Source organism: Homo sapiens, chromosome 3 (assembly GCF_000001405.40).
Source record: "Homo sapiens chromosome 3, GRCh38.p14 Primary Assembly".
Taxonomy (NCBI): domain Eukaryota; kingdom Metazoa; phylum Chordata; class Mammalia; order Primates; family Hominidae; genus Homo; species Homo sapiens.
In genome coordinates, this window is record NC_000003.12 from 189,018,565 (window position 1) to 189,035,014 (window position 16,450).

The 16,450-nt window shown below is 41.4% G+C and overlaps 1 protein-coding gene across 2 annotated transcripts in view, besides 1 other annotated feature; it reads left to right on the plus strand.

Moving 5' to 3' along the window:
- Nucleotides 1–16,450, plus strand: part of TPRG1 (tumor protein p63 regulated 1) — a 328,078-nt gene that overhangs the window by 21,338 nt on the left and 290,290 nt on the right. Inside the window, exons 1-2 of one of the 2 annotated variants that reach the window (XR_007095667.1) lie at nt 4,173–4,784; nt 5,186–5,382. The gene's annotated coding sequence lies outside the window, so the exon portion shown is untranslated. Of the gene's footprint in view, nt 1–4,172; nt 4,785–5,185; nt 5,383–16,450 lie in introns of those variants that run through there. The other variant, XR_001740120.3, reaches the window with a different exon arrangement.
- Nucleotides 3,937–4,453: an enhancer, noted in NCBI's record as "NANOG-H3K27ac-H3K4me1 hESC enhancer chr3:188740290-188740806 (GRCh37/hg19 assembly coordinates)". NCBI's record gives its function as "activates a minimal SCP1, AML or CMV promoter by ChIP-STARR-seq in naive H9 embryonic stem cells {active_cell/tissue: H9 hESC(naive)}" and the evidence as "EXISTENCE:reporter gene assay evidence [ECO:0000049][PMID:30033119]".

A 16,450-nucleotide genomic window follows, 5' to 3' on the forward strand; every position in this document is an offset into this window, starting at 1 on the left:
GCTCTGTTCTGTTCCATTGATCTATATCTCTGTTTTGGTACCAGTACCATGCTGTTTTGGTTACTGTAGCCTTGTAGTATAGTTTGAAGTCAGGTAGTGTGATGCCTCCAGCTTTGTTCTTTTGGCTTAGGATTGACTTGGCATTGCAGGCTCTTTTTTGGTTCCATATGAACTTTAAAGTAGTTTTTTCCAATTCTGTGAAGAAAGTCATTGGTAGCTTGATGGGGATGGCATTGAATCTGTAAATTACCTTGGGCAGTATGGCCATTTTCATGATATTGATTCTTCCTACCCATGAGCATGGAATGTTCTTCCATTTGTTTGTATCCTCTTTTATTTCCTTGAGCAGTGGATTGTAGTTCTCCTTGAAGAGGTCCTTCACATCCCTTGTAAGTTGGATTCCTAGGTATTTGATTCTCTTTGAAGCAATTGTGAATGGGAGTTCACTCATAATTTGTCTCTCTGTTTGTCTGTTGTTGGTGTATAAGAATGCTTGTGATTTTTGTACATTGATTTTGTATCCTGAGACTTTGCTGAAGTTGCTTATCAGCTTAAGGAGATTTTGGGCTGAGACAATGGGGTTTTCTAGATATACAATCATGTCGTCTGCAAACAGGGACAATTTGACTTCCTCTTTTCCTAATTGAATACCCTTTATTTCCTTCTCCTGCCTAATTGCCCTGGCCAGAACTTCCAACACTATGTTGAATAGGAGTCGTGAGAGAGGGCATCCCTGTCTTGTGCCAGTTTTCAAAGGGAATGCTTCCAGTTTTTGCCCATTCAGTGTGATATTGGCCGTGGGTTTGTCGTAGATAGCTCTTATTATTTTGAAATACGTCCCATCAATACCTAATTTATTGAGAGTTTTTAGCATGAAGAGTTGTTGAATTTTGTCAAAGGCCTTTTCTGCATCTATTGAGATAATCATATGGTTTTTGTCTTTGGCTCTGTTTATATGCTGGATTACATTTACTGATTTGCGTGTATTGAACCAGCCTTGCATCCCAGGGATGAAGCCCACTTGATCATGATGGATAAGCTTTTTGATGTGCTGCTGGATTTGTTTTGCCAGTATTTTATTGAGGATTTTTGCATCAATGTTCATCAAGGATATTGGTCTAAAATTCTCTTTTTTGGTTGTGTCTCTGCCCAGCTTTGGTATCAGAATGATGCTGGCCTCATAAAATGAGTTAGGGAGGATTCCCTCTTTTTCTATTGATTGGAATAGTTTCAGAAGGAATGGTACCAGTTCCTCCTTGTACCTCTGGTAGAATTCGGCTGTGAATCCATCTGGTCCTGGACTCTTTTTGGTTGGTAAGCTATTGATTATTGCCACAATTTCAGATCCTGTTATTGGTCTATTCAGAGATTCAACTTCTTCCTGGTTTAGTCTTGGGAGTGTGTATGTGTCGAGGAATTTATCCATTTCTTCTAGATTTTCTAGTTTATTTGCGTAGAGGTGTTTGTAGTATTCTCTGATGGTAGTTTGTATTTCTGTGGGATCGGTGGTGATACCCCTTTATCATTTTTTATTGCGTCTATTTGATTCTTCTCTCTTTTTTTCTTTATTAGTCTTGCTAGCGGTCTATCTATTTTGTTGATCCTTTCAAAAAACCAGCTCCTGGATTCATTAATTTTTTGAAGGGTTTTTTGTGTCTCTATTTCCTTCAGTTCTGCTCTGATTTTAGTTATTTCTTGCCTTCTGCTAGCTTTTGAATGTGTTTGCTCTTGCTTTTCTAGTTCTTTTACTTGTGATGTTAGGGTGTCAATTTTGGATCTTTCCTGCTTTCTCTTGTGGGCATTTAGTGCTATAAATTTCCCTCTACACACTGCTTGAATGCGTCCCAGAGATTCTGGTATGTTGTGTCTTTGTTCTCGTTGGTTTCAAAGAACATCTTTATTTCTGCCTTCATTTCGTTATGTACCCAGTAGTCATTCAGGAGCAGGTTGTTCAGTTTCCATGTAGTTGAGCGGTTTTGATTGAGATTCTTAATCCTGAGTTCTAGTTTGATTGCACTGAGGTCTGAGAGATAGTTTGTTATAATTTCTGTTCTTTTACATTTGCTGAGGAGAGCTTTACTTCCAAGTATGTGGTCAATTTTGGAATAGGTGTGGTGTGGTGCTGAAAAAAATGTATATTCTGTTGATTTGGGGTGGAGAGTTCTGTAGATGTCTATTAGGTCTGCTTGGTGCAGAGCTGAGTTCAATTCCTGGGTATCCTTGTTGACTTTCTGTCTCGTTGATCTGTCTAATGTTGACAGTGGGGTGTTAAAGTCTCCCATTATTAATGTGTGGGAGTCTAAGTCTCTTTGTAGGTCACTGAGGACTTGCTTTATGAATCTGGGTGCTCCTGTATTGGGTGCATATATATTTAGGATAGTTAGCTCTTCTTGTTGAATTGATCCCTTTACCATTATATAATGGCCTTCTTTGTCTCTTTTGATCTTTGTTGGTTTAAAGTCTGTTTTGTCAGAGACTAGGATTGCAACCCCTGCCTTTTTTTGTTTTCCATTTGCTTGGTAGATCTTCCTCCATCCTTTTATTTTGAGCCTATGTGTGTCTCTGCACATGAGATGGGTTTCCTGAATACAGCACACTGATGGGTCTTGACTCTTTATCCAATTTGCCAGTCTGTGTCTTTTAATTGGAGCATTTAGTCCATTTACATTGAAAGTTAATATTGTTATGTGTGAATTTGATCCTGTCATTATGATGTTAGCTGGTTATTTTGCTCGTTAGTTGATGCAGTTTCTTCCTAGTCTCGATGGTCTTTACATTTTGGCATGATTTTGCAGCGGCTGGTACCGGTTGTTCGTTTCCATGTTTAGCGCTTCCTTCAGGAGCTCTTTTAGGGCAGGCCTGGTGGTGACAAAATCTCTCGGCATTTGCTTGTCTGTAAAGGATTTTATTTCTCCTTCACTTATGAAGCTTAGTTTGGCTGGATATGAAATTCTGGGTTGAAAATTCTTTTCTTTAAGAATGTTGAATATTACCCCCCACTCTCTTCTGGCTTGTAGGGTTTCTGCCGAGAGATCTGCTGTTAGTCTGATGGGCTTCCCTTTGAGGGTAACCTGACCTTTCTCTCTGGCTGCCCTTAACATTTTTTCCATCATTTCAACTTTGGTGAATCTGACAATTATGTGTCTTGGAGTTGCTCTTCTCGAGGAGTATCTTTGTGGCGTTCTCTGTATTTCCTGAATTTGAACGTTGGCCTGCCTTGCTAGATTGGGGAAGTTCTCCTGGATAATATCCTGCAGAGTGTTTTCCAACTTGGTTCCATTCTCCCCATCACTTTCAGGTACACCAATGAGACGTAGATTTGGTCTTTTCACATAGTCCCATATCTCTTGGAGGCTTTGCTCGTTTCTTTTTATTCTTTTTTCTCTAACCTTCCCTTCTTGCTTCATTTCATTCATTTCATCTTCCATTACTGATACCCTTTCTTCCAGTTGATCGCATTGGCTCCTGAGGCTTCTGCATTCTTCACGTAGTTCTCGAGCCTTGGTTTTCAGCTCCATCAGCTCCTTTAAGCACTTCTCTGTATTGGTTATTCTAGTTATACATTCTTCCAAATTTTTTTCAAAGTTTTCATCTTCTTTGCCTTTGGTTTGAATGTCCTCCCGTAGCTCAGAGTAATTTGATCGTCTGAAGTCTTCTTCTTTCAGCTCGTCAAAGTCATTCTCCTTCCAGCTTTGTTCCGTTGCTGGTGAGGAACTGCGTTCCTTTGGAGGAGGAGAGGCACTCTGCTTTTTAGAGTTTCCAGTTTTTCTGTTCTGTTTTTTCCCCATCTTTGTGGTTTTATCTACTTTTGGTCTTTGATGATGGTGATGTACAGATGGGTTTTTGGTGTGGATGTCCTTTCTGTTTGTTAGTTTTCCTTCTAACAGACAGGACCCTCAGCTGCAGGTCTGTTGGAGTACCCTGCAGTGTGAGGTGTCAGTGTGCCCCTGCTGGGGGGTGCCTCCCAGTTAGGCTGCTCGGGGGTCAGGGGTCAGGGACCCACTTGAGGAGGCAGTCTGCCCGTTCTCAGATCTCCAGCTGCGTGCTGGGAGAACTACTGCTCTCTTCAAAGCTGTCAGACAGGGACATTTAAGTCTGCAGAGGTTACTGCTGTCTTTTTGTCTATGCCCTGCCCCCAGAGGTGGAGCCTAAAGAGGCAGGCAGGCCTCCTTGAGCTGTGGCAGGCTCCACCCAGTTGGAACTTCCCGGCTGCTTTGTTTACCTAATCAAGCCGGGGCAATGGCGGGCGCCCCTCCCCCAGCCTCGCTGCCGCCTTGCAGTTTGATCTCAGACTGCTGTGCTAGCAATCAGCGAGACTCCGTGGGGTAGGACCCTCCGAGCCAGGTGCCGGATATAATCTCATGGTGCGCAGTTTTTTAAGCCCGTCGGAAAAGCGCAGTATTCGGGTGGGAGCGACCCGATTTTCCAGGTGCCGTCCGTCACCCCTTTCTTTGACTCGGAAAGGGAACTCCCTGACCCCTTGCACTTCCCGAGTGAGGCAATACCTCGCCCTGCTTTGGCTCGCGCATGGTGCGCGCACCCACTGACCTGCGCCCACTGTCTGGCACTCCCTAGTGAGATGAACCCGGTACCTCAGATGGAAATGCAGAAATCACCCGTCTTCTGCGTCGCTCACGCTGGGAGCTGCAGACCGGAGCTGTTCCTATTCGGCCATCTTGGCTCCTCCCCGAGCTCTGAGATTCTTTACTCCACTTGGTCTGTTCTGCTTTAATACTTGTGATTGCATGGTGAAGTTCTTGTACTGTGTTTTTCAGCTCTATCAGGTCAGTTATTTTCCTCTCTATACTGGCTGTTTTTGCTGTCAGCTTCTGCATTGTTTTATCATGATTCTTAGCTTCTTCGCATTGAGTTACAGCATGCTCCTTTAACTTAGCGAAGTTTGTTTTTATCCATATTCTGAAGCTTACTTCTGTCATTTTAGCCATCTCAGCCTCAGCCCAGTTCTGAACCCTTGCTGGAGAGGTGTTGCAGTCATTTGGAGGAAAGGGGGCACTCTGCCTCTTTGAGTTGTCAGCATTTTTGCACTGATTCTTTCTCATCTTTATGGGCTTACCTTTGATCTATGAGGTTGCTGCCCTTTGGATGGGGTTATTGTGTTTCTTTTTTGTTGTTATTTTTGTTTGTTTGTTGTTTTTCTTTTAACAGTCTGGCCACTCTTTTCTAGGGCTGCTGCAGTTTGCGGGGTTCTTCTCCAGACCATAGATGCCTCAGTTTTTGCAGTACCTGGAGGTTTCACCAGTGAAAGCTCTGAAACAGCAAAGATGGCAGCCTGCCCTTTCCTCTGGGAGTTCCATCCTAGGGGTGTACAGAACTGTTGCTGGCCTGAATACACCTGCATGAGGTGGCTGAAGACTCCAGTTGGTAGGTCTCACCACTCAGGAGGAACGGGATCAGAGACCCACTTAAAAAAGTAGTCTGGCTGTGTTTTGGTAGAGCAGCTTTGCTGTGTTGGGGGATCCCTTCAGTCCCCAGTTGGTTTGGACTCTCCAAGGCACACAGGCTAGACCAGCTGAAACGTCTAAACAGCAAAGGTGGTGGCCCACCCTGCCCTCCAGGCACTCCATCCCAGGGAGAAATTAGAACTCTGTAGCCAGTAGAACATGGGGAGAGATGGCTGGAGGCCCTGGCTGGGAGAACCTTCCCCGTGAGGAGGAATGGATCAGGGTCCCCTTTAAAGAAGCAGTCTGGCCACACCTCAACAAAACAGGCCAGCTCTGCTGGGGAACCGCCTCTGCCCTGATTCGTTTGGACTCTCCAAAGCCTCTAGGCTGGAACAGCCAAGTCACCCAAACAGCAAAGGTAGTAGCCTGCCCCTCTCCCAGGGCACTCTATCCCAGGGGGAAATCAAAACTCTGTCTATATAATATAGGCAAGGGTGGCTGGAAGCCCTGGCTGGGAGCTCTTGCCCAGTGAGGAGGAGTGGACTGGGGTCTTGTTTAAAGAAGCAGTGTGGCGATGTTCTGGTGAAGCAGCTGTGCTGTGCTGGGGGGTTTCTTCCTTGTCCAGACGGTTTGGACTCTCTAAAGCCTGCAGTCTGGAACAGATGAGCTGTCCAAACAACAATGATGGTGGCCTACCCCTCCCTCCTGGGCACTCCGTTCCAGGGAGAGATCAGATTTCTGCCTATAGAATATAGGCAGAGGTGCTGGAGGCTCTGGATGCGAAGTCCTGCCCAGTAATGAGGAATGGATAAAGATCCCTCTTAAGGAAGCAGTCTGGCCACATTTTGATAAAGCATCTGTGCTGTGTTTGGGGATCCCTTTCTCGTTCGGATCTTTGGACTCTGCAAAGGCTGGCTGAGTTGTCCAAATGACAGAGCCCCCAGGGGCTTCGTCCCATCTCAGACAGGCATTACGCTGCTGCCAGTGGCTGGCTGGAATTCCAAGCCAGTGGGTTTTATTTTGGGAGGTGCTATGGAAGTGGGTCCTGCAGACTGATGCTGCCTGGTCCCCTGGATTCAGCCCCCTTCCTAGGGGTATGTACCAACATCCTGCCTTGCCTGAGATGCCATCACCTTTCTTGGGGATCCTAAGGCTGGAGTATGTAAAGCTCCTGGGTCTCTGTATGTGCCTGAGCACCGGTTCTTCCTAGACTCCACACAGCTCTGTGTGTTGGACCCAAGGCCCTGGTGGGGTGGGCTCATGAGGGGATATCCTGATCTGAGGGTTGCAAAGATCCATAGGAGAAGTGTGGTTTCCAGGGGTCACACATTCACTCACTGCCTCCCTTGGCTTGGGGTGGGGGTTCCCTTGGCTCCGTGTTGCTCCTGGGTGGGCCACTGCCCTGCCCTGCTTTTCTCCATTTTCTCTGCATTGAATTGCTTCCCTGATCAGTCCCAATGCGAGTCCCTGGATATTTCAGTTGAAGGTGCTGTATTTACTTGCTCCCTTTGTTCCTCTCCCTGAGTGCCATGCAAGTTAACTGCTTCTAATCAGCCATCTTGTCTCCCTCCTTAATAATTCTCAACTGGCTTGTGGATGTATCTTCTCAAGGGTGCTGATAAAATGTGAGCAGTATACTGAAGCGAATTGTGTGTGGTATGATAGTGTATTCACTCTAATGGTTGACATGTCCTCTGAAATAAGGGGAAAAACAAGGAGTAACTTGCTGACACTGAGAGGAAAGAGACATGGAATAATCAAGCATGTGCCTGCTTTCTGGAATATTCTCTAGGGTATAAGAGAATGTTGTCTTTTGAGTATCTAAGAAAGCATTAACAAATCAGTTGACATATCTACAGTGAAAAAAATAATAACTTCATGTTGAACAGTGATCCAGAAAAAGTGCAAAATGGTGGATGATTTTTAAACATTCAGAGATACAGTTCTTCCTCAAAAGAGATGTGTTGTTATTAATCGTGACTTTTTTCAGTTTTTTAAAATATTTTTAGGCCCTTATTAGTGCATCACCAAAATTTATAGGCTTCACAGTCATTGAACACAAGGTTGAGAATCCCTATTCTAAGGAGTGAGGGAGAGTGTATTAGTTAGCTCGAGCTGCCACAACAAAATGCCACAGATTGGGTGTCTTAACAGACATTTTTTTTCTCACTATTTTGGAGACTGAAATTATGATGCTAACAGGGTTGGTTTCTGATGGGGCCTCTCTTCCTGACTTGACAACTGCCTCCTCCTCACTTTGTCCTCATGTGGTCTTTTCTCTGTGGAGAGAGAGAGACAGTGAGAAAACGACAGAGAGAGAGAGTGAGCTCTGGTGTCTCTTCTTCTTCTTATAAGGACATCAGTCCTATCAGATTAGGGAGCCAGCCTTCAGATCTCATTTAACCTTAGACCTCTTTAAAGATCTAAATCCAAATACTGTCACATTGGGGGTTGGATTTTGACATATGAACTTTGGGGCCACACAATTCAGTCTATAACAGGGAGCAAGTGATTTTTGCACATTGCTGGGCAGGTGAGGTTTATACTAGCCCTGGTATTGGGGAAGTTTTTTCTTTCCACATGGACGAGAACATTGAGATGGAAAAATCAAAACCATGTTTTGGGAATGGCAAGTAGGGTTTAAGCTTAGCTGGAACATAAGATTTGTGCAGGGAGAGATTTAGAATATTAGTTAGAAAAGACATATTGAGGTGAAGTTGTAGAGTCTTGGAAAAGCAGAATGGGGATGCATCACTTGATTTGGGAGGACAGCTAAGAGACACTAATGAGTTTTGAGCTGAAGAATAACATGGAACGAAGCTGTGCTATAGACAGTCACATTGGCGAAGGATGGATTGAAAGACGAAGGAGTAAGATGGAGGCAAGGAGCCCAGGTAGGAGGCAACATGGCGTGTTTGTTGAGAGCATTGACTCCACACCCAGGCTGTCAGGTCTTAAACATGACTTGTGCCACTTATATATATCAATAACTTTAGAAAAATGTCTTTATTTTTCTGAGCTTTTGATTTTTTGTAAGTAAAATGTGCTGATCAATGTGTTAACAGTATTAGATGAGTCAATATCTGTAGGGTGCTTAGAAAAATACCTTGCACGCAATGCTATGCAATTGTTTTCTTGTGCAGTGAAGGTGGGAAAGCACTAGAGAAAAATTCCAAATCAACACTTTCTTCTTTCCTTGACCAACCTTAAAATAAGAGTTTTTCAGTTAATAACTTCTGTGGTGTCTACTACATTTGTACCTCAGGCCTACTTTTGTAAACAATTAGATTTTCACTCAGCCTGCCTCACTCTGACCCTGCCAAAAGAAACCAAAATACCCCACCAGTATTCAGAATGCCTACAAGCAATCAATAAATCCTTTGCTTCTAAAAGATGCAGCTGTTCTAAAAGTTTACATCTGGACTAAGTAAGGTATGTAAATAGAAAGTCAGAACTATGCTGAAAATCTCATTTTTCTGCATTCAACTTGAACAACCAGACTGTAATGAACCAAAACACCATAAAGTCTATGTAGAAATATAAATACACGCATGGTGTATGCAAGACAAGCCCACAGGGGCAATATTATTGTGATTAAAATATGGCTAGGTTGAATTTCTTCACTAGGTTTTCAAAGGCATACAAAATTATGTTTTTATGTATCCAATGCTGTATTCCGTGCTGCTTGGTGGATGGTATTTGGACTCAGTTTGAGTTAGTCTATGTTTTGGATGAATTATGCAAAATCCCCAAATCATATGTTTTGTAAACATAAGAAAGGAAGTGATTCCAATGGATAGGAAAAGTTGTTCCAAATTGGAAAAATGGAAAATCAGGGCCAGATGGAAGTGTGTTGGAAGGCTTAAAAGCAATAGCATTGTGAACAGTGAGCATGCATTCCCTCTTATGCCTTGATGTGAAGGAAAAACTTATTACCGATTCCTGAGAACTGACGTAGTGGCCATTTTTTTTCGTTCCCTCATTATTCATTATTTCATCAAGTATTTACTATTGAGAACTTACAGTGTGCCATGTCCTAGGATTTCTCAGGAAATTCATATTCTGGTGATTATTCATTATTTCATCAAGTATTTACTTTGAGAACTTACTGTGTGCCATGTGCTGGGATTTCTCAGGAAACCCACATTCTGGTGAATAACAGGAAGATATAGCTAGAAGGAGCCTTTGGTTATATAATCGTACTCCATGACTTCACGGATGGGGAAATTGAGGCCTAACTCCAGTCAATCATATTGTCAGAAATAGGCTTCAAGTTCCCTGACCGCATTCCAGTGCCCTATTTGCCACCCAAGATTGGCACTTGAGGGAGACGCTTGGGCATTCCATAAATTGCTCATTGTGCAAAGGTGGAGAGAACGAATGAAAGGCCAGATAAGCCACTGAAGATGACCAATAGTGTCACAACTATTTCTTCTATGGGGGACAGGGTCACTTTTGCTGTCCTTCATATAGCATGCATTGCTCATGTGTTCCTTGGTAGTAAGTGGGAGACAAAGAGGAATTAGGATCGTGGTTCTGTCATATCTGAGATCTTCACCCATTATAGCTAACAGATAAGAAAACAAAGAACTTTGTGTGTTAAGGGATCTAGATTCCAGTTCCCCCTTTAGCAGTTTTTAGGGTTTGTAATTACCTGCCCTTTCCCTTGCAAGTATCAGGTTTTTAATTGCGTGTGCTAATATTTATTAGTGCAGTATCATTGCTGTGATGTAGTAGGGGTAAGATGTTGAGCACACTGCACACTGTGTATGGTAAGGCCAATAAATAGTAGTTAGCATGGTCATTTGTCTCTGTAAACAGTAAAACAAATGGTAGTAATGTATTTCTACTGTACGTTAGTTAGAGTACATCATAGCCCCTGCCCTCCAGTAGGTGAGGCTGACAAATGTATGACTACAGAGCAGATTATAATAGGCATTTTAATAAAAATACCAAGTGTCTCGAAATAAAGGAGCAAGGGAGGCTAATTTAACTTTCTCCTCGTCCCCAGTCATGGTCTATTTCCTATTGAAGATGGAATTGAGTAAGTGTTTTCAATAAAAAAAAAAAAAAGTAATTTAGTAGGTTGAAAGTGATAATTTATTTTAGGCAAAGTGAACAGTTTGGAAAGAGGTTCAATAAAAATTGAGCCTTTTTTTCTACTCTAAAATAGTTAATATGATAATGCCTGCTATCCTGAGCTAAGGGAGCCAGAGAAAATAATACCTTTTTATTGAAATTTAAATTGGTTGAAGGGGGAGAAAGGAATCAGTTTGTGAGATGTGACTTCAACAGCTGAAAACAGACACCTGGAAATGTGGTTTATTTAGAGATGCAATGTTTTATGATGTTGCTGCTTCTGATAAAAAGAGCAGGGAATAAACAGTATAGAATGTCGATGTTATAAAACATTCCATGTAAATTAACATCAATAGAGATGAATAGGGCTTTAACATAATTAATGCCAACCTGTCTCTGTGCTGTCTTTCATTATAGAACAGACAAAAGCAATTCAATAGGCTTTTCCCAAGCAGGCCCACACAATCTTAATTAATGGGTTAATGATTTTAGCAACAACAACAAAAAGGCAATGTAGTATAAGCCTTTATAAATGGCTTAGAAGCTGGATTCTAAATTTAAGAAAGATATTTTTATGTAACTAGCTGATATGGTTTGGGTGTTTGTCCACCCAAACCTCATGTTGAAATGTAATCTCCAATGTTGGAGGTGGAGCCTAGTGGGAGGTGTTTGGATCCTGGGGGCAGGTCCCTTGTGAATGGCTTGGTGCCATCCCCTGGATAATGAGAGAATTCTCACCGTAGTCATTCCCATGAGATTTGGTTGTTTATTAGTGTGGCACCTCCCACAGCTCTCTTTCTCTTGCTCTGATCATGTGATACGCTGGCTCCCTATTGCCTTCCGCTATGATTGGAAGCTTCCTGAGGCCGCACCATAAGCAGATATCAGCATCAGCATCATGCTTCCTGTACAGCCTGCAGAACTGTGAGGCAGTCAAACCTCTTTTCTTTACAAATTACTCAGCTTCAGGTATTTCTTTATAGCAACACGAAGACAAACTGGGTACGGGAGGAGAAACCAGAGGTGTTTCTTCTCTTTTTCTATGCTCTTTTGCCTGAACATTTCTGATGTTTTTTTGTGCTTCTTGTGACTTGAAAAGGAGTCATAAGATCTGGGTTTGAGTCTTGCGTTTCATTTTCTAGATGTGGGCGACTTTATTTCATTATCTATTTCAATTTTCCCATCACAAAATAAGGAAATTGTGTGAGATGAATATTGGCATTTCAGAGTAGGTTTGCCAGAATTAGCAAAAGATATAAACAAAAGTAAAAAACAACATCCAGTTAAATTTAAATTCAAGTTTACCTGGATGTCTTGGATTTTTTTCTGGCAATACTATACTCCTTTCTCCAATAAGTTTTAAATAGCCTCTGGAATCAAAAATCAAAATATCAGTTTCTTTCTTTTTTCTAATTAATCTGCATTAAATAATTCACTTTCCAATTCCTCCAACCATTATTCCCAATTAAATCTACTAAAAGTAAAATCCAGGTAATGATCCTACAGGGGAAGAAGTGAACAGAGTTGCTAAAGGTGTTACTCCAAGCTCCCTACCTTGGGGAGTGTACATACTTCTAGGACATGAGGACAACATGCCCTAGAAGTATGAAGAAGAGTTGCTGAAAGTGTTACGCCAGTCACCTACCCTGAGGAGTGGAGTGTACAACCTGTTCTGTACGTATGAGGAAGGGGTCATGGCAGATCACCATATGTCATGCTTCTTAACTCATTTAACCTACCCTTCAATTCTATGAATTAGCTTTCATTATTGTCACTATCCCATTTTACAGATGAGGAAACTGGGACACAGAAATGAGTTGTCATTTGTCCAAGATCACACAGCCAGTAAAAGACAAAGCCAGCACCTTAACCCAGACTATCTGTCTTCAGTGTCTGTGCCCTATTACTTATTACTGGAGAAAATATTCAATAAAAAATTAAAAAGGGCCGAGCGTGGCTCACGCCTGTAATCCCAGCACTTTAGAAGGCTGAGGCGGGTGGATTGCTTGAGGTCAGGAGATCTCAAGCTGTTAGAGACCAGCCTGGCCAACATGGAGAAACCCCGTCTCTACTAAAAATACAACAACAACAAAAAATTATCCAGACGTGGTGTCAGGTGCCTGTAATCCCAGCTGCTCGGGAGGCTGAGGCAGGAGAATCACTTGAACCTGGGAGATGGAGGTTGCAGTGAGCCGCGATTGCGCCACTGCACTCCAGCCTGGGCGACAGAGCGAGACTCTGTCTTAAAAAAAAAAAAGAAAAATTAAAAGGGACACTGAAAACCGTGTAAGGTTGAAAAGCGAACAAGGCAATTCTTTCTACCTCACAGGATATGTGGTACCAATACACATGGCATATGTATGCATGATGTTTCATATATTTATACATTTATATGAAGCCTATTTTACTTAGATATTAACATCTCTGGAAGTCAAGACAAGCAACATTGGGTGGTAGGTTAGTATTTTCTTCAGTGTCTTCCTCTTTGTATTCCTTACATTGCTGGCTTTTCTCTTTCTGTTGTGGCTATCACATAAAGACCAATTCAATACATCATTTAGCAAACTGTTGCTGAGTGAATATCACATTCCAAGCACTGTTTTAGGTCCACAAAATACAAATATGTATAGGACAGTGTTCTTTAATGAGACGGTTGGTGATTCACTCTGTGGAGGAGTGGTTGAGATGAAGAGAGGAAATATCAGGCAACCTTTATTTGGGAAGTGGGGAGGCAAACAGTGCATGTAACATATTAAAAAGTGTTTCCTAAACAAAGATCTTGTTTTAAAGCACTCTTGGAAAAAGTGTCTCACCAAGGAAAGTAGCAATTAGAATAATAAAAATAAATAATAATAAGAAGAAGCTAATAGAGTTTGGGAAAGAGGGTATATTAGTTAGAATTTAGGTCCAGTTAGGTATAAAATTGACCCAAAGTAACAGTCGTTTATAAAAGATGTGGGAGGTAGAATAAAGCCCCCTTACTCCAAATATATCCACATCCTAATGTTTGTAACCCATAACTATGTTACCTTACATAGCAAAAGAGGCTTTGCCGATGTGATTGAGTTAAAGATTATAAGACAAAAAATTACCATGAACAATTTGAGTGGGCGCCATGTAATCACAAGAGTCTTCACATGAGAGAGGGAGGAGGCGCAGAGTCAGAAAAGAAAATGTGATGACTGAAGCAGAGGTTGCTGTAATGCAAGGAAGAGGCCGTGACCTAAGGAATGTAGGTGACTTCTACACACTGGAAAAAGCAGGGAAACAGATTCTTCCCCTAGGGCCTCCAGAAAGAAAGCAGTCCTGCACCTTGAATTTTGGACTTCTGACATCCAAAACTGTATGAAAATAAATTCAAGTTGTTTTAAGCTACTAATACAGTGGTAATTTGTTACAGGAGCAATAGAAAAAATAAAAAATAGAATACACTAGATAAATTATTTCTCTCGTACATACGAATCAAGTGGCAGGTGGTCCTGGGCTGGTTGTGAGAGTTTTGCTCCACCAGTTGGCTATTTATGTGTTATTAATCTCTCCTTTTTTTTTCTTTTTTTTTATTATTATTATACTTAAGTTTTAGGGTACATGTGCACAATGTGCAGGTTAGTTACATATGTATACATGGGCCATGCTGGTGTGCTGCACCCGTTAACTCGTCATTTAGCATTAGGTGTATCTCCTAATGCTATCCCTCCCCCCTCCCCCCACCCCACAACAGTCCCCAGAGTGTGATGTTGCCCTTCCTGTGTCCATGTGTTCTCATTGTTCAATTCCCACCTATGAGTGAGAACATGCGGTGTTTGGTTTTTTGTCCTTGCGATAGTTTACTGAGAATGATGATTTCCAATTTCATCCATGTCCCTACAAAGGACATGAACTCATCATTTTTTATGGCTGCATACTATTCCATGGTGTATATGTGCCACATTTTCTTATCTGTAGTCCAAATGTCCCACAACCGTGCACACGATTCAGACAGCTGGATAGAAGAAAAAGAAAAGAAAGATAATGTCTCTTTAGGAAATCTCTTTAGGAAATGTATTTCAAAAATCACACATATCATTTCTCACACATTTTGGACCAGAACTTATCACATGACCATGCCTTAAGTGAAGCTGGGAAATTTAGTCTTTGGGTAGCTTTGTACCAAACTAAAAGCCAGGTTCTCTATTACTACAGAAAAAAAGGAGATTGGCTATTGAGAACAGCTACGCAGAGTCATTATTCCTTTTTTTTTTTTTTTAATTTCTTGAGGCAGGATCTCACACGTTCACCCATGCCGGAGTGCAGCTGTATGATCTTGGTTCACTGCAACTTCTGCCTCTCAGGCTCAAGAGATCCTCCCACTTCAGCCTCCTGAGTACCTGGGACAACAGGTACGTGCCACCACGCCCAGCTAATTTTTGTATTTTTTGTAAAGATGGGATTTTGTCATGTTGCCTGGGTAGGTCTTGAACACCTGAGCTCAAGTAATCTGCCCTCCTCAAAGTGCTGGGATTATAGGTATGAGCCACTGCACTTAGCCTACTCTTCTACTCCTTTTTTTTTTTTGAGATGGAGTCACTTTGTCACCCAGGCTGGAGTGCAGTGGTGCAATCTTGGCTCCCTGCAAGCTCCACCTCCCGGGTTCATGCCATTCTCCTGCCTCAGCCTTCCGAGTAGCTGGGACTACAGGTACCAGCCACCATGCCCTAATTTTTTGTATTTTTAGTAGTGACAGGGTTTCACTGTGTTAGCCAGGATGGTTTTGATCTCCTGACCTCGTGATCCACCTGCCTCGGCCTCCCAAAGTGCTGGGATTACAGGCGTGAGCCACCGTGCCCAGCCTACTCCTCTTAATAAAAGAAAAAAGGTATAGAGTAATTTATGCCATAGATTATTAATGATACCAACAAAGCTTGTAGAGGGCTAAGAGAGATAAAAGATACATGGAAGCATTGTCTGCTAGAGGAAAAGAAATAGACATTAACTTTTAAAATATTGATGGTTTACGTGTAGCTATGTGTCTTAATAACTTAAGAATAACCCCAGGATATTAAAAGTAGAATGCATAACTTCTAAGCAACGAGAAGGAAATTTGATCTATCTAATGAAAGTTGAGAGGAAAAAAGGGGACAAATAGAAGTTTTGTAAATGGAAACACAAAATGTGGTAGAAGTAATTTCTAACAAAGGAGGAATTACAATAAATATAAATGAATTATCTTACCAGTCAAAATCAAAAGCAGATCCTTTCAGATTGGATTAAAAACAAGATCCACACTTATGTTATCTGCATAAGCTGCATTTAAACAAAAGCTTACAGAAAGATTAAAAATAAAGACATAAAATGACATCAGACAAATATGATCAGATAGCAAATTAAGATAGCAATTTCAAAATTGGCTCATTAGAAATGGAGACAAGTTATCATTGTCAAAAATCATAGATTTAATATATTGGCAACATAAACAATATATCAATGTACCTTATGTTTTAAATACATAAAGCAAGAATGACAGAACTGTGGTGAAATAAAGGCAAATGAATAGCTGAGCTAGAGAGTCTTTAAAAATTGTTAGTTTAAACAGATAAAAAAGAAAAAGCAAGGACATAAAAGTTGTAAACAAGAACATTTAGAAGGAAATCTGGTGCTTTAAATACCTCTAAAAGAATAATAATTAAATACATTTTCCACTGAAGAAGCTAAGGTGAAAGCTCTTTACACCAATTACACAACACTGATGAAAGAAATCAGAGATGACACCAACAAATGGAAAAACATTCCATGCTCATTTATAAGAAGAATGAATATTGTTAAAAGAGCTATACTTCCCAAAGCAATTTACAGATTCAATGCTATTTCTATCAAATTACCAATGTCATTTTCCGCAGAATTAGAAAAAACTATTCTAAAATTTGTGTGGAACCAAAAAAGAGCCTGAATAGACAAAGCAATCCTAAGCAAAAAGGACAAAGCTGGAGGTA